An 18,056-nucleotide genomic window follows, 5' to 3' on the forward strand; every position below is an offset into this window, starting at 1 on the left:
CCTACCCACTGCCCCAGCAGTGCCCACCCTACACTCGCACAGGGCAGAGCCACAGGAATGGAGTACACCCAGGTCATGGTGCCAGTGGCTCCCAACCCTCTTGTAACAAAGAAAGGAAGACCTAGCACTGAGCTAGCAAGGATATCCTGAAGATGTTTTTTTGTTTGTTTTTTTGAGACAGAGTCTTTTGCTCTGTCGCTCAGGCTGGAGTGCAGTGGCGCAATCTTGGCTCACTGCAACCTCCACCTCCCGGGTTCAAGCGATTCTCCTGCCTCAGCCTCCCGAGTAGGTGGGATTATTATTATTATTACTATTATTTGTATTTTTAGTACAGACGGGGTTTCACCATGTTGGCCAGGCTGGTTTCGAACTCCTGACCTCAACTGATCTGCCTGCCTTGGCCTCCCAAAGTGCTGGGATTACAGGCGTGAGCCACTGCACCCCGCTGAAGATGATCTTATTCAACCTTTGTGATGAGCCGGCCAGTTCACTGTTATTGTCCCATTTTACAGAAGGAATGGCTGGGGTGGGGGATTATTTGCCCAGGGTTACAGAGCCAGGGAAGGCAGAGGCTCCTCTCACTGCCAAGGCACATGGTCCCTTTGAGACACTTCTTTTCATCCACAGATGTTCCCTGATCTGATATAGCTCACCTCTCTAGCAAACTGCACTTAACACAAATTCACTTGCTTTCCCAATTAAAAAATCAGCAGAAGTTCTCAACACCCACCACTCAGGTCCTCCCCTTGGTCTGGCAGGGCCAGGGTCCTGATCAAAATATTACAGCTCCAGCGGAAAGGAAAGAAAACTGACAGTTTGGTTAGGTCACCAGGTATGGGTGGTGATGGTGGCGGGTGATTCCTGTTTTAATTTGCACTGAAGCAGGAAGAATTTGAAGACACCCCCTTAGCTCCCTGCTGCTCCTTTTATAAAGGGCCTCAGGCTGGGAACTACTGGCCTAGACTCTACTTATTAAGGCAGAAAATGGGCCTGACACTGGAGCAGATCCTGGGAGAGGTTCTTAGGCTCTTTCCTGGCCAGCCTGCCTGCTCCTCCCTCAGGGATTGGATGGCTGAGGTCTAACCCTGCAAACGTGGGGTGAGTTGGGGGTAACACAGCAAGCCATCAGGTCCAGACCCCCACTCAGCCAGTCTACCTTGAGGATCCGGCGATTGTACAGGTGATGGTCTCTACTTATAAAGCCCGGATTGAGCCGTGGGAAAACCATCTAGTCAGCAGATAGGTTGTGTGGTCAGAAAGGCAGGAAGGTGATCTGAAGAACTACAAGGCTTTTTGAAACCTGGAGGCAAAGCCACTTAACCAAGCCCAGAGAAAGGCAGTTAGGTGATCAGGTGTGCAGACTCCTTCTCCAAGGATGGCTGCTTACCAGCTGAGCGCCCACCAGCATCCACGCCACCTGCGGCCATGTGACGGTGCCATCACCCAGGGCTCCCGGCCTGGCTGCCTGCAACCTCCCAAGAGAGCCTAACCCTTACCCAGGGGCCATGAGAGATAATGGCAATTGGAGTCTTAAGCCACTACTTTTTAAATTTTTTTTTTTGGAGACAGTCTCGCTCTGTCACCCAGGCTGCAGTGCTGTGGTGCCATCTCGTCTCACTGCAACCTCTGCCTCCTGGGTTCAAGCAATTCTCTTGCCTCAGCCTCTCGAGTAGCTGGGACCACAGGCGCACACCTCCACACCCGGCTAATTTTTGTATTTTTAGTAGAGATGGGGTTTCACCATGTTGGTCAGGCTGGTCTCAAACTCCTGACCTCAAGTGATCCACCTGCCTCGACCTCCCAAAGTGCTAGGATTACAGGCATGAGCCACCTCGCCCGGCCATTAAGCCACTAAACTTTGTGTGTGCATGTGTGTGTGTGCGCATATGTGTGTGTGTGTTGGGGGGTGGTGTTCCCGATGACTGGGACACTGGGACCATAGGGAGGGTATCCACGAGGAGGGTTGGGGGATTGGGAGGAGATCCACTCTTCATGACCTCTGGGCCTCAGGACTTCTAGTCTGTTGAAGAGAGGGCATCCCCTTTTGGAATATCAGCTCCACACACCCACCAGGAAAGCAAGCAGAAGGATTTTTCTCAGCAGCTAAAACTCAGCATGAGCGCCCTTTCTTTGACTGCAGAACAATCTCACCAGCTTTATGTGGCTGGCACAGAGCAGCTGTGTTCGTGCTCACAGCTCAGGGGCTTGGCCTGGCCAGCCCCCTTCCCTGCTCCTGCTCACAGCTCAGGGCCGCGGAGGTGCGGAGCAGGCGCCCGGCCAGCTCTGACCACAAGCTGCAGCCCCGCTCTCCGCACTGCGGCTCCCACTACCTTTTCTTTCCCATAACAACCTCTTGGGGTGGGGGCTGTTCCCCCATTCACAGTTGAAGAAACTGAGTCTCAGAGAGCAAAGTGACTTGTTCAGGGTCACTCAGCTGGCAGGTGGCAGAGCTGAGCTTTGAGCTCAGTTCTGCTGACCCCAGAGCCTTCCCTCTTTTTGGGGTGCCAGCTGTCCTCAGGACGCTGTCTCCAGTCTGGGGTCACGTGCCAGCCCCACTGTCCAGCATCCACAGTGGTAAGCATGGAGACCTGGCCGTCTTCCAGAGACACTCCACCTGCGCAAGAGGGGCAGCCCCACAACCCAGGTCCCTGGGGGCTTCCACCGGTGCTATGGGTGGGGAAGAGCCCTCTTGGCCTCTTTCTGTGATGAGCTGCGGGGAGCTGGGACCCAGAAGCAGCGCCAGTTATGCCTCATTATTACACAAAACAAACCATGTGGGCAGTGAGGGAGGTCATGCCTGGTTCTTACCCGGGGGCCAAAGTCTCCTGGTGCACCCTGGGAACAAAAGACAGGGAGAGGCATCACCACTGCTTTCATCGTTTCTTCACATTTCCCGTCGGGCATCTGTGCCCAGTGCTTCATAGACATGGTATGACTTAATTCCAACAAAAATAGCAGGCAGGCCCTATTTTTATTTCCATTTCCAACGAGGAAGCAGACACAGTGAGGCCACTTAACCTGCTCAAGGTCACACAGCTAGCAGATCCAGGACTTGAAGGCAGGTAGGTGTCCCCTTATCTAGGGGGCAGCCCCAGCCATTCGAGGCCCCAGACATTGTGGAGCAGAGACAGCCCCTCCCACTGTGTCCTCTGGAAGGGACGGTAATGAGTAAATGTTGCTTTACACGGCCAAGTTTTGGGGCAGTGCATTAAGCAGCAATAGACACCAAGACACCAGTTCTCTCTGGTTTCAAAGCCCCTGATGGAATCACTTCTATGACACGGTGGCATCAGCCAAGGCCGGCAGGAAGGTAATCAGGACACCTGCCAACTGCACTAGTCTCTTCATTGACAAGAACATTGAGACCATGACCTCATGCAATCTCTCCTGTGGCTCCGTGAGATTGGTCTTAATTTACAGATGGGGAAACTGAGGCCCACACAGCCCGGCAACTTGGCCAAGGTCACACAGTTGGTGGTGGAGCTGGAATGCAAAGCCGAGCTTCTGAACACCAGCTCCCATGCCTCCCCACGGCTCCCGCAGCCCTGGTGGTTGGGCGGGAACCCTGCCTGCCTGGCCTGAGCTGCGGAATCACAGCAGGGCCCATCTGCAGATCTCACTTCCCATTTCCAAATTCTGGGTCGGGGGTGGACATGGTCCAGCTGTGGGAGCACCCGGCTGGCCCTGGCACACCTAGGCCTACTCTGGTCCCTCCCCTGATTTTACCGTGGGTAACACAGGTCTCTTCTGTCCCTTTCTGAGACACTTGGTCCCTGTTTTCTAGGGGGCTTTAGTGCCTGATACCAAGGAAGCCTTCCTCCCAAGGGGCCGCAGAGATAGCTGTCCGCCTTGTCTTCCTGATGGGTGTCCTCCCCACAGAGAATACCATTAACAGTCATGGTTCAATCCCCAAGCCCTCCTGGCACCCCCCTTCACCATGAAGTCCTCTGGACACTCGTCATTCTGGGAACACCGGGCCTCCGAGTTTGGTTATGCTTTGGTCCCAGGAGAACTCAAGACTCAACTCTCTGGGCAGGCCGTATTGTCAAATGTAAGCCTTGTAATCATTTTAGAAGGTAGGCACTGTGATTCCCACTCTACAGATGGGGAAACTGAGGCTCTAGGAGGGGCTGTGATGTGCTCAAGGGCACACTGGAACTGGCGTTCGGAGGCAGGTTTCTGGGATTCTTCGCCTGCCTACCACATCTGCACAGCCTCTGGCATCACTTACCTTTTCCCCTTTCGGGCCTGGAAGTCCCTGGAAAAGGAAAGTGGAGAAAGAACAGACCTGAGTGAGGGGCCTAGGCTGGCTCCCCTTCTGGCTTCCCTATACCTCTGAGGGCAGAAGGGCCCGTGATGCTGGGCGGCTGAGTGGAAAATTACACATGAGCTCTCAGCCCTCAATGAGAGCTGCCCTGGCTGGCCCAAGGAAGCTCCACATCTCAGTCCTCAGCATGAGGGATACGGGGGAATTGCGGGTGACCAGCAAGGGCCCACTGGCATCCTCGCAGCAGAGAAAGGGGCACATGCACTGGCCACTCCTCCCAGAGAGCACACACGGTCAGTTCCCTACTGCTCAGCACCCGCCCTGTCATTGTCAGTGGGAGACCACTGCCCCCAAGCCATCTTTCTGGAATCTGAGAAGCAGGCAGTAGACAGAGATTCTCTCTCCATAGGCATTCTCTTCTTCTTTTTCCTTTCTTATTTCTTAAAAAAAAAAAAGCATTCTCTTCTTTAATGGTAGCAGCTCCTTGGAGTATGGGTTCCATCTGTCCATCCCTGTATGAGTCATCCATCCATCCATCCATCCATCCATCCATCCATCCATCCATGTATCCATCCATCCATCCACCCACCCACCCATCCACCCACCCATCTATCCATCCATCCACCCACCCATCCATCCAACCATCCATCCACCCGTCCATCCACCCACCCACCCATCCACCCATCCACCCATCCATCCACCCATCCACCCACCCATCCACCCACCCATCCACCCATCCACCCATCCACCCACCCATCCACCCACCCATCTATCCACCCATCCATCATCCATCCATCCATCCATCCACCCACCCACTCATCCATCAATCCATCCATCCATCCATCCATCCATCCATCCATTCATCCACCCATCCACTCACCAATCCATTCATCCATCCATCCACCCATTCATCCACTATCCATCCATCCACCCATTCCCCCACCAATCCATCCATCCATCCATCCACCCACCTACCCATCCACTATCCATCCAACCACCCACCAATCCATCCATCCATCTATCCAGTCAGCATCCATCCATCCATCCATCCATCCATCTATATATCTACCGACTCACCCATCCATCCATCCACCTCAAATTACTTATTTAATTGTGCTTATGTCTCCCTGCATGTTTTGCTCATCTGCTGAGGCTCCTGGCCCAGATGTTGAGAACTCAGCTTGATGCCCACCAGGGCAGTCTTGAGAACGTAGTGAGGACACTGTGCCTGTGCCTGCTGGGAGGTGCTCGCATGCTTTGAGGGCTGACTAGACCCCAGGGACTGTGCCGTCCACAGTTTTCCATAGGTCCACCCCTCCTATGAGAGAGGGGTTCATGTGCCCACTTGACAGACAAGAAGCCTCAGGCTTGGGAGGTTAAGGAGGCCTCCCTTGGTCACCGTCAGCAGGTAGTGGAGTTAGATTTGAACTCAAGTCTGACACCCAAAAGGCTTCTCTCTGTGCTGAACCAAGTTCCAGTGGCTGCTTCCCTCCAGTGCCTGCTGGTCACTCCTAGCCCCACGGTGGCAGCCCCAGCCCAGGACCCCCTGGAATTGCCCTGTCATCACTTACGGGCTTGCCATCCAAACCCAGGGGTCCCTGGAAAACGAGAGAGAGAGAACACAGGTTACACACGGGGATGACACTTCCTCCATGTCTTATGACCCAGGTGCACTATTCAGTGACAAGAAAACAAAGCCTGTGGGAGCCCCGCGTCTGGGTTCAGTCCATGTGGCCTGGGGCTGAGGGAGGGGAAGGCATCTGTGTGTTGTCTGCTGCCCAGAATCCCCTCCTCTGACAAGAGAGCCCAGTTCTTCTCTAAAGACCACCCCCCATCTCAACCCATGGGGTCTGGGTGGGCTGCTGGGGTGGGCATGTGACCGCATTCCCTCCGCCAGGGTGACGGGGTCAGCGATGAGCCTGGGATCCAAGGCGAGCCATGAGCATCTTGCCTGGGACTTAATGGTGGGGCTTTAGAGGCTTTCTTCTGATGGGGCTAAGCCTGGAGCTCCCAGGGACCACCACATGGCTTGAGAATAAGCCAACAGGGAGGAAAGCAGAGCTGAGAGACAGAGAGAAAGACAGCGTCGAGGGCCTGAAGCTGAAACTACCCCTGCACACATCAGTTTGAGAGCTAATCAATACTTTTGTTTTGCCTTCACTAAGCCAGCTTGAATTGAGCTCCTGTCATTTGTAACTGGCAGAGTCTTGAAGGCTCTTTGAGCTTCCCACATTGCTGCAGCCTTTGCAGACAACAGTAAAGCTGGAGAGAAGCCGAATCACACCAGGGTGGGTCCAGAGAGTGGGGGCACTCAGGGACCTCCAGGCCCCCTGCAGAGTCTGCAGAGGGCCAGCTGCACAGCAGCCCGTGCCAGACACCCCTTCCCCTGTCCACCTACCACTCACTCAACAAAGCCTCGCCTAGCTCCCCTCCGTGTGGGAGTGGGGAGGAATCCAGCTGGCAGGGATGCTGGGACCAGGGCTGCCTGGTCTCTGTCAGCCCCCTCTTCCTCCCCACCACTGTCCCCTCACCCCCACATACACTTCACTCTTGGCCGCAGCAACGATGCACACAGCTCCACACTTCTGAACCTTTGCACACACTGTCCACCTGCCGGGCACATCCTTCCCTTCTTTGTCCATCTTCAGCTCAGTTACCTCCTCTTCCAGGAAGCCTTCTAGGGTTTTCTCCTTCCCAGAGTCAGGCCATCTGTCCCTGTTCCCACCACATATATTCTGTCGCATGTGACATGACCTGTTGTTAATGTAGGGTCTGCACAACTCTTCCCCTGTAGAGTCAGGAAAAGGGTCTAATCCCTGTGCCTCTGGTATTGGATGGGGCCTGGCAGGCAGCATGTGCCCAGAAAATGTGTGCGAAGTCAAACCAAGGAAGTATGGCAAGAACGATAATGCTGCAAATGCACGCACTGCACAGTAGAAAGGGAAGGCGGAGAGGTGGAGAGGTAGAGGCTCTGCCAGCTCCTAGCCGGCAGGGCGCATTGTGGCGACAGTAACGTTGGGGTATTTGGACCTAACAAGTGTGTGTGTGGGGGCGGGGAGGGCCCTGTAAGCAAAAGAGAGCAGCCTGGCCAAGGCGGGATGGGGGACCCTGTAGGTGGTGGAGGAGCAGAGGGGCTGCACTAACCTCAGTGCCTCTCATAGGCCCCTGACCGGTGGCCTTCACGCAGCCTTCGCTCAGGCTGTCCCTGCCTCTCTGGGCTTCCGCTGGCTGAGGACGGACTCCCAGGCCCAGCATCAGGGTCCTCTGTGGTTAGGGCCAGCTTCAGCCATTTGGTCACTCTGCACCCCTGTCCGTCCCGAGCTCTCTGGCTTCCTTTCCATCCTCATCCCTCGGCTCTCTGTTCCCTCTGCCTGGAGTGCCTTCCCTGCGTTTCCAGCTGGTAAGAGGCAGCTCGTCCCCCGGGACAGCCTCCTGCTCTGGGAAGACTTTCCTGGCCTCTGGTTCTGGACACAGCTGGGAGCTGGCCTCGTGCCTGCCAGGTAGGAGGTAAGCTGCTGGCTTCCCTGGCTCAACCTCCAGACTGCCTCGTATGGAGATGGCCCATCTGCCCATTCCCAGACGGTGTGAGAGTGGCCACTCCACGTGGGGCTCGCGGCCAGGGCCTTGCTGGCAGCAGGAAACCAGGCAGTTCTAAAAATTGGTGTCAAAGGGCTTCTGGCCACCAGTCTCATGGTCGCTGAGGGTTTGGCCATCAGAGTGATGGCCTGGTGACAGCTGGGGTCCCAGGAGAGTGGGAGTGGGGGCATTCCAAAGTCTTGGGGATTCAGGCCCTGGGGGCCCCGGGTCAGGGCCTCAGCCTCCATCACAGGCATAGTTCTAGTCCTTGCCATGAGCCTCCCAGGAGCTGCCCTAGCTGGACAGTGTCCTCTTGCCAGTTCCCGGCTGTCCTGATCCTGGGGTCCACACCCCCAGGCCTTCTGCCCTCGGTAGTACACTAAATTTGGCCCTGCCCCTTGTCCCCCTACCCCCCGACCCAAGCCCTGCTGGGTGTCCTCAAGGTCGCGTCCCACTAGGCATCCCCACCTTGGACCCTTCCCCCAGGCCTGACCCCACACACATGGCCGCCAGTCCTTCCTGGGTCTCTTCAAGGAGCTCTTCGTGGCCCCCACTCAGTCTCAGTCACACAGCAACCCTGTAAGGTACGTGTCATCATCCCCATCTTACGGAGAAGGAAACTGAGGCCCAGTGAGGGGAAGACCTTGCCTAGGGCCATGCAGCTGGAGAGGTCTGGGCCCTGGGTCTCCATCCTGTCTGCACTGCAGGCCCGTGCCGCGGTGCTGTCTGGCCTCCCGGCCGCTCTCTCCTGCTCTAGGCCTCGGAAACCTCTGTTAAATCCTCCCTGCAACCAAGGCCCCCTGGATGTGAAGCACGCAGAGCCACAGGGCTCTGCCTTTCTAGAAGTGCCCGTGGAAGGGAGCCCAGGCTGTCCCCTTGGCCTCAACCCCAGAGGGAGCATCTCAGTGCTGCCGGCTGTTTCTGGAAGTGTCCACCGACTGGACCTTATTATGGCTGCAGGCCTCCTGCCTCCTGAGCTGGACGCTGCCCTCTGTCAAGCTAGGACTGTTCCTGGGGGGTCACTGATGGCGCAGCCTTTGGTCCCCGAGGCTTCTTTCTGATGTGTGAGAAGCCCCGTCCGTGACAGAAAACCAATTTTTACACCAAACGCCCTGCCTGTATTTGTGATCAGAGAGCTCTGGGAGTTTTTACAAGTGAATTCAGTGTGTAGCTTCCCAATAGAGGCAGAGGGTGCAGTGTGCGCAGTGCTCCCGGGAGCCCCCACCAAGGGCTGAAGGGAAGTCAAGTCCAATTCTCGGAAGCCGAGCCTGTGCCTGCACCGGCACTGAAGCTCCCTGTGTGAAAACTGACACAGCAGACGGGGCTGGGCCAGCCCCTGGGACAGAGCCGACCCACAGCCAGGATGACACCTGGGCAAGAAAGCTGTCCCCAGGCCCCCGAGCTTTCTGTGTGGGGCAGTGGCTGACCTTGGAGAAGCTGCTGGGTGGGTATGGTCACTGAGGAGGGGACTCCGAGGTGGGCCGGGAAGGAACAGCCTGGCTTTGGAGTCAGATGCACCTACCTGGCTTGGGGATGTGATTCTGACCTCCCCTCCTGTCCTGGGGAAGTTGGGCCAGCCCTCTGGGCCGGAGGACCCTGGGCTGTGAACCTCCAGGGGATGGACCCTGCCCACAGTTACCCTACAGAATGCCTTTCCCAAACTGGTGTCCCACAGCACACTGCCCTGCAGGGTGCCAACAGGCTTGCCTGGAGACAGGGATTCCACGGTTGAGTAAGTCTGAGAAACACTGGGTTACACTCTGCGGAACAGGTTTCTTTCCTGCAGGGCTGTCTGAGCCGTCATTTTAGTTTGTGGGTCTTTGAAAGGACAGTGCTCCTTCCACCCCTGCAATGGGCTCAGTGGACTCAGCCTCAATGCACTCAGTGCCTGGCTGAGTCACGCAAAGCAACTGAGGCGTGAGGCTGTGCAGACCATCTACAAACCAGGTGTTTCTACTGGTGGAGTGGGGGCTGAGCCTGGCTCTGGGTGCTCTTGAGAGGAGGACAAGCGCCTCAGGGAAGGGCCTGGGGCTGGTCTGAATGGAGCCAAGGAATGCATGGGGTGGGGGGCGTGGTCAGGCTGGACAGAGGCATGGCAGGGCAAGTGTCCAAGTGTCTAAGCCCGAGGGAAGTCCTTCTGAGGAGAATGAGGGCTGTTCTGAGCAGCTGGGCGGTCTGGAAGGGCAGAGCCCCAGACTGGGCGGGGGCATGCCTTGGGTGGTGGTTGGCTGGGTGTGGGGGGGGTCTCCCCTATCTAGGCAGCCCTCCCCTGCCCCAGACAATAGGGCACCGGCCATCAGCTGCCCCGTTCCTCTCCCAGCATCTCCCACAGAAGGAGTGGGAAGGAAAGTAGCTCGGGGAGGTTTACCACCAGCTCACAGAGCGAAGGCCAGGGCTCAGCCTTGCAGGGCCCAGGTTCAAATCCCTCCTCTGAGCCTCAGCTTCCTCATCTATGGATGCCACAGCACTGTGCCTGGAGATGCTCATGACTGTCCAGCTCGCTCCCCTGCCTGATCAAAGCCCTTGAATCCACCAGAGGTTTTCAACGCCTTCTGCCCTCTGAGAAACCCCACAGCTGTTTACAAGCCTTGGTTCTGCTTTAAATCACTCTTTCCCCATGGAGATCAGCCGGGCTCCGGGATGTTTCCGGATGTGTGAGAAACAAACAAAGCTCTGGGCTGCACATGAGCAGCAGGCCAGGCGGCCACCTGTCCTGGGACCCCGGATGGGCAGCCCTCCCCCAGCCCTGGTGCTGCCTCAGTCCCTTGCTTTGCTCAGGGACTGGGGTGTCCCCGAGCCTCAGTTTCCTCATTTGTGAAATGCAGGTCATGCCATTCTCCTCTCAAACAACAAGTTCAAATTGGGTCCCAGGTCAGTGGCCTTTGTTTCCCAGACCAATGCAAGATGCGAAGCCCCACGGGCAAGCAGACACTGGATTAGGGTTTGCCCTGGCCCTGGGGGACAGTGCTGGGAGCGACCCGTGTGTGGCCTTCCAAGAGGCCGGCAGCAGGACCCTGGACGGTGCCGCCAGCTCTGCCACCTGTGAAGCTGAGGCTTTGCTCTCTCCCTCCCTCGGCCTGTCGCGTATTTCCTAAGCCGGGTTCACAGAGCCATCTTTTGAGGCATATTAACAAGTGTTGAAACCAGCCCTATAAACGTTATAAAGTTAATTAGGGAAGAAGGGAGGGGGAGGAACAAAAATAAACCAAGCTTGTGGCACACTCAGCATCATCATGAGGTCAGCGTGCTCCCTGACCCCTTCTCGGAACTGTTTTCCTGCTGCCTCAGAATCGCGCAGGTTCTCTTACAGGGTCATGGTTCCCCTTAACTGCTCCGTAGATACCAATCTGAACGTAAAAAACTACCTTTTCCCTACTCTTTCAGAGCCTGCACACCAGTGAAACTACAAAGTCAGCTGGTCGGAAGGATCCCACGGGAGCTGATTCACCGGAGTGCGGTCTCCACATCCTGCTGATTTCAGCCCCCCGGTCCTGACCGATCAATGACCCCAATTTTCCAGCCCCTCACCCTCCATGATCCCCTTAAACACCCTGGCCCAGAACTCCTTGGGGGGATGGATTTGAGGGTCTCCTCCATCTCCTTGCTGGGTGCCCTGCAATCATTAAACTCTTTCTCTGCAGCAAACCCTGCTGTCTCAGTGTAATTGGCCTGGTACTAACGCAGCGGGCATTTGAAACTGGTGGTCCTATAACCGTGTGGCTACAGAGGGGAGGTTTCCTGGTGAAGTACATTCGGGATGTGGAGTATGGTGGCTCCATCCCTGGAGTGTCTTGATGCTCATCTGCCGGGAAAAGCCTGTGCTGCTCTTCTTGCTCTATGTTAGGGAAAGGTCCAGGGCTGGCCCTGTCCTCCTGACTGCGGCCCAGCACTCCCCAAGATCGGCTCCAGCATCTGCTGAACTGAACCAAACAAATAAACTGGCCGCGTTTAGAAGCAGACAGGAGTAAACGCTCAAATCGGCCAGAGCTGGGGGCCTGTCTTGCTTTCTGGCTGTAATTAATGCTGACGGTTCCTGTGAGGGAACGGAGCCCTCAAAATGCACTAGGACAAGGCCCCTGGAAGAAGGGCTTACCAGGATTATCAGGCCAGGACCTAGTAATTACACCCCAGATGTTGACAATTCATCAAATTACAAGGCTGGTGGGGCCTGAGGTCCCAGCCTGGGAAGTGCACATTCCTGTGTGAAGGTTCCCTGAGCCTCCTCCCAGCTCTCATTAGAGCCGGCTGGTGGATAAGGGGTGGGTGGGCAGCCCCCTTCAGGGCGGGTCAGCACCATACGGTTCTGATTTCTCAGCCTAGGCTCTTTGTACACACATGGGCTGCAGCAAGACTGTCCGGGGCTTAGCAATTTCCCAAACTCAAATTCTTTGTGCTAGGGAAAGGAAGAAAAGACCCTCAAAGTTAGGTTCAGCCCAGCTGTTGCTGGTGCCTTGAGGGTGGCACAATGTTCCTCCTGGAGCACTTCTTCCTGGGACCTAGGGCATTTTGTAGAGTGGGCTCTGTAGTGACCTATGCACCTCAACTCAGCAAACTGTAGGAGCTTCAGCTGGGTGGGGTCCCAAGCGCTTGCACCAAGGTCAGAGACTTGCCCCTCATGTGCTCCTTGGCCTTGCTTGGGCTGCTGCCCTCTGTGCTGCTCATCTGTAGTGTGAGGGGCTGGAATTGGGCAATGTCTTTCTGGGAGCCAGGTTTTATTTGATCCGTGCAGTTAAAAGAACCCAGACTGGGCATAACGGCTCATGCCCGTAATCCCAGCACTTTGGAAGGTCAATGTAGGAGGATTACCCTGGCTCAGGAGTTTAAGACCAGCCTGGGCAACATAGTGAGACCTCATCTCTAAAAAAAAAAAAAAAAAAGGTTGGGTGTGGTGGCACATGCCTGTAGCTCCCGCTACTCAGGAGGCTGAGGCAGGAGGATTGCTTAAACCGTGGAGGTTGAGGCTGCAGTGAGCTATGATGGCACCACTACACTCCGGCCTGGGTGACAGAGCGAGACTTTGTCTCAAACAAACAAAAAAACAAAGAACCCCAAACCAAATGAATTAGTCACATTTAAAAATTGCAACCTTTTACATAAACGTCCAGAGTTTGGGCTTTTCTTGAAAAGCCGGGAGATCTCGCAGACCCTGGTCCACAGGCTCCACCCTTCCCTGTGGTCTCACGCCTAGCCTGCTGCCCATGGCGAGGTGACTCGCCAGCTCTGCAGGGCATCTGATTTGTAACCCTTGGCCTAGAAAGTCTCCCAGGGCCCTTTCAGCTCTATGATGCTGTGAGGCTGTGAAACCGGCTGGCTTCTATTTTGGGGAGAGGACCTGCTCGGTGATGCCTGAGTGTGCTGGAAGTAATTACATGTATGTCCATGTCACACATCATGGCTAGCAGAGGTGGTGTTTACAGCACTGTGCCTTTGAACCGATCCCAAAAATACCTGCTGAAATGACACATTTGCCCATGACTGGTGGGGAGAGACATGATTACCCTGTCAGGTATCAGAAAATACTGTTCCTCATTAAGGTGGCAGAGAGGAAAGAGCTTGACCCCCGTGGGGTGAGGGAGGATGGAGGATGGGACCGGCGGGCCGGGATGTGTCTGACTGAGCTGCCCAGGTCACCAGCTCAGGCACAGAGGGCTGTTCTGGTGGAAGGAAGTCTGGGGGAACACACCATCAGCTCATTTTGGTGCCAGCCGTGGATGGGGTGGAAATCCAGAGTAGGGAGCAGCAGCTGACGGGAAGTGTGACCTTCACAGAAGGGTGACCGCCACAGCGTGGCCAAACTCCACGAGGCAGTCTAGAGGGAGACAGCGTGACCAGGACAGCTCGCAGCACACACTGAAGCTGCAGTCACTCTGCCTCGCCCTGTGGCCCCTGGACCATGCCCAGGCCAAGCTCTGCCCTCCTGCCCCACCCTTGGGGCATGGTTGGTTTCCCAGCCTCCCTGAGAGCTGCCCCCTAGGCTGTGGGGTGGGCCCTCCTTGGTTTCCACAGACAATTGTCACCCACTGGTAAAGAACTGGTTGAAACCCTTAAAAATGCAAAGGATTTTTATAGAATTTGGATTTCCAGCTTCTCTGGAAATGTTGGAAGATGTGGTAGTGATGACTGCATGTGCGGAACTGCACCCCGATGGGGCGGGTGCCCCGATTCACCCCAGGCCCTGCCGTTTTCTCTGCTCTCCTGCGCCCAACCAGCCTCATCTATTTTCTCACTTGCCGGCGGCTGCAAGCGTCAGTGAGCCCGTGAGCCTGCAATTCTAGCTCAGGTCCATCTCTCCAGTCCTCCCACCCTCCTGGGCCAGCCTCCGCCAGGCCCCCTACCTCCTGCCCCACATACCCATCCTTCCTGCACAGTGAAGGAGCAGGGTACATCCTGATGATGAGGTCCTGCCCCGTAGACCTGGGAGTGAGCTGCTGAATTTCCCTGGAGCGCGTTTCCTCCTCTGCAAACTGAGTGTGTTGCGGATGGAATGGCTCCCTGGATCTGGGCTCACAGCAGGCAGCAGGGGAAGGGTGGGTTAATGAGAGCAGCTGTGACGCGCTGGGCCAGCCCTGGGGTAAATGAAGCCAGGGAACAGAGTGGAGCTGAAGCAATGTGGGCCCTTCCCTCCCTATCTAGATGTCACTGGCCCTGACCACAGACCGGCCAGGCAGAAGCCTCATCATCCCCATTTCACAGATGAAGATCTGGAGCTCGGAGAGGCCAGGACACCAGCCCAAAGCTTTGCTCGAGCCCTGTGCCCTGCCTGCTGACTGCCCCTCCTCTGGCTGCTGTAGCACCTGGCACACCCTCACCCACTGCCCTCAGGGCAAAGCTGTACCCCTGGCCTGGCATTCAAGGACAACCTCTTCCTCCTGAGCGCCTCCTTCCAGACTCACGTGTCACCTCTTCTGAGGAGCCTTCTTCAGCTCCCGCCCCCGCCAGTTTCTCACTTATGGACTCACTGCTCTGTCTTCCTGCCACCTCTCCTCCCACAGTGACCAGCCACATGGCTCCAGTGCCCACCACAGATGCCCTTCCTGACCGGAGGATGTGCAGCCTTGGCTCGCACACCCCTGGTGATGTGGAACTCACTGCTCCCCGGGCAGACTGAGGGGTTTGCAAAGATTTTGTTTAAGCCTGGTCCTTCTCAGGCTAGACCCTCCACCTTGCAGCGCCTGGTTCAATTGTGCCCAGAACCTCCACGTGGCTGGGAAGACGAGGCCTCAGGTTCCAGCCCAGGGAGGGCTCTCAGCTTGGGTGGGTGGGGCTGTGGGCCCCTTTGTCCAGCCACCCGGGGTGGAACTCCAGAGTGGACAAGAGATGGCCAATTCCTCAAGGCTGGGTGCTCCAGGGACACAGGCTTCTCACCTCCCCCTACGCCCTTACCATCCCGGCCCATCTTGGGTGCACCCTCTCTGGATGTTCCCCCTGAAACTCCCCACTTATCAGCATCCTCTTCACCTTCTGACTTCGACTCACACCTCCCTTCCTCAAGGCGGTGCCCCTGACCCCCACCAGGCCAGGTCTGGGTAACGGGAGCCCCGCCTCCTAGCCCTGGCCACGAGGCATAGTGAAGCTGGAATTTGTGGGAGTTTTTTGTTCTGTCTGCCACTCAACCACAGGCTCCAAGTGGGGAGGGACCCCTGGATGTGTTTCCTGCTACCGTATCCCAAATGCCGAAGCGCCTCGTACATAACGAGAACACAGTAAATACCCGCTGAATGGATCAACAACGGTGAAGGGAACGATTCTCTGAATGAACGTCCATCCTGCTGGCTCTCGTGCCCGGCCAGGGAACACTAGAGGGCGCGCTTGACCTGCCGAAGGCTGCCTCCAGCCCTGGCGGACTCTTGCGCTGGACTCCCGCCCTCGGGCCACAGCCTGGGCGATCAGCCAGGACGCTGGCCATTGAGGATGCAGGCCCAAAAGGGGCGCCTTCAGCCTCACAGGCTTCCCTGGCTGGCATTGGTAATGGACAGAGCAGTGGGAACGGTCCCTGAACCCAGTCCGTGTGCCCAACTCTGAAGCTCTCCTGCGTCATCTCCTTGGTTCCCCCAATAGCTGAAGGGGCCGAGGCTTGGCGGGGCCAGGGACGTGCCTGAGGCCACATGGACTATAGACCCCTGGGCCCATTCTGTCTCCACTGCATGGGCTGGACATCGTGCCAGCCCTGGGTCCTGGTCGGGGGCAGCTTCATACCAAAATCACTGCTTTCTCTTTAGTCTATTTGCTTCGAAGACCTGGGCTTGGCTCGGTGACTTTGTGCAGGTCTGTGAACATGTTCTTCCATGTGATGGGGCGAGGATGCTGTGGGGCTGGTCTGTTGCCTGGGGAAGTGGGAGGCGGTTCCAGCCAGTGACCACGCTGCAAACATATCACAGGCAAAACAGCAAAGCGCAGGACCAACCCCCTCTGCTGGGCCCCCTACACTGCTGTCCCTGCTAAGTCTCCTCCCAGAGCTAGGTGTGGACAGGAGGTACCTGGGCTGCTGCCAGGAGGATGCAAAAAACTGCAGCAGATACAGGAGGCATCTGGGAGCCGAGGGCGGAGCAGCAGCTCGGGCCCCACTGACCTGGGGTGGCCGCCTCCTGTGAATGGGCTGCCCCACATGGGACACTCACGGGGACACTGGGGACACAGTGCTGGACCAAGACAAGAGGCTGGACTCAAGAGACTTAGGGCCCTGGGGAGAACGGCCAGCATGGTGGCCCTGGTTGCATCTCCCTGAGGTTCCAGTCTGCGTGCCATTATCAGGGACTCCGGAGTCGGCTTTCATCCGGTCTCAGCTTCACTAGAATCTGGGGATTGTGGGGTGGCACTGTAGGGGTCAGACGGAAATGAGATGGAGGATGTTGAAATCTAAAAACAGATGAATTTGGGATATTTCAGATAAATCGTTTAACTGATTACATTTTTATAATCAAAGCTGTTTTTGAACTACAAGAGTGCAAGAGAGCGTGTGAACGTGCGGTGCTCCATGGGCCTTTCTTGTTCACTTGATTAATTCCAAACCGTCCATCCGAGTCCTTCATTTCAAAATTGGTCCCAGGCCGAGGCCCCGTCTCACAGACCACATTTCAGCCCAGAGCTCTCGCAGTCCCCTGGGGCCCCGGCTGTCGCTGCTCCCAGGACTGAGGCCGGAGATGAAGTGCAGTCACCGCTCCCTCGACTCCAGAGGGGCTTGGGCACGGCGCTCCGGGGCCCAGGAGGTGCCGTGCGTGTGGTTTTGGGTGTGCTCAGAGCTGACCTGTGACGCCTGCCAGCCCTCGTTTCTGTTAGTCATTCAGGCTTCACCAGCAAATTAGTGCAACCGCCTCCTACCCGCACCCCTTCCTCCAGTTTCTGCCCTGTAGCCAAGGAGGCCTTTTCTACTTTTTAATAATTAATTGATTGATTTAAAATTTTATTTTTTAAAACAGACGGGGATTCGGCCAGGATTGGCAGCTCATGCCTGTAATCCTAGCACTTTGGGAGGCCGAGGTGGTCAGATTGCCTGAGCTCAGGAGTTTGAGACCAGCCTGTGCAACATGGCAAAACCCTGTGTCTATTAAAAACACAAAAAAATCAGCCAGGCGTGGTGGTGCGTACCTGTAATCCTAGCTACTTGGGAGGCTGAGGCACGAGAATCACTTGAACCCAGGAGGCGAAGGTTACAGTGAGCCGAGATCATGCCACTGCACTCCAGCCTGGGCGACAGAGCAAGACACTGTCTCCAAAAAAAAAAAAAAAAGATGGGGTTTTGCCATATTGCCCAGGCTGAGCATGCCCTGCTCCGTTCAGCTGCTCCTCTGCAGGGACACCCTGCACAGTGATACAGAACTGGACATTTCATTACCAGGGGAAGATTTAGAAATTCTTCCTAATTTCTAATAACGGCTATGACACGGAGGTATGAATGAGGAATAGGAGAGGAGGTGAAATGAAGAAATGGACTTTTAAGTTTAAGTTAGACTTAGTTTTTGTTTTTCTTTTTTCGTAAAGCAGGAAAGCATCCTAACACTTTGATACCAGGGGTGGAATACAATAGTTGGGAAGGGAGCAGCAGGGCTGGATACAGACAGGTATGAGCAGGAGAAACCAAACATCCTCTCCAAGTATGTGTTTCTGGGGGTGGTCTGAGAAGCACTCTCCTGCCAATAAGCAGCCCATCCTGGCCCCGGCCCTGCTACTGTAGACAGCTTGAGAGGCTGGCTGGTTGGTGTGAGGGAGTAGGGTC

At 56.1% G+C, this 18,056-nt stretch overlaps 1 protein-coding gene across 11 annotated transcripts in view; it reads right to left on the reverse strand.

The window, feature by feature from the left end:
- Positions 1–18,056, reverse strand: part of COL23A1 (collagen type XXIII alpha 1 chain) — a 352,776-nt gene that overhangs the window by 26,881 nt on the left and 307,839 nt on the right. For 8 of the 11 annotated variants that reach the window (XM_011534688.3, XM_006714935.4, XM_047417869.1 and 5 more), the window contains 3 exons: positions 5,839–5,865; positions 4,232–4,258; positions 2,809–2,835 (listed from right to left, as the gene is read on the reverse strand). The exons of 1 other annotated variant lie outside the window; for it this stretch is intronic. In XM_011534688.3, coding sequence (XP_011532990.1) covers positions 2,809–2,835; positions 4,232–4,258; positions 5,839–5,865 — 81 coding nt within the window. The remainder of the gene's footprint in view (positions 1–2,808; positions 2,836–4,231; positions 4,259–5,838; positions 5,866–18,056) is intronic. 2 more of the 11 variants (XM_011534690.3, XM_006714934.4) reach the window with 1 other exon arrangement.

The sequence above is a fragment of the Homo sapiens genome, chromosome 5 (assembly GCF_000001405.40).
Source record: "Homo sapiens chromosome 5, GRCh38.p14 Primary Assembly".
Classification (NCBI taxonomy): Eukaryota; Metazoa; Chordata; class Mammalia; order Primates; family Hominidae; genus Homo; species Homo sapiens.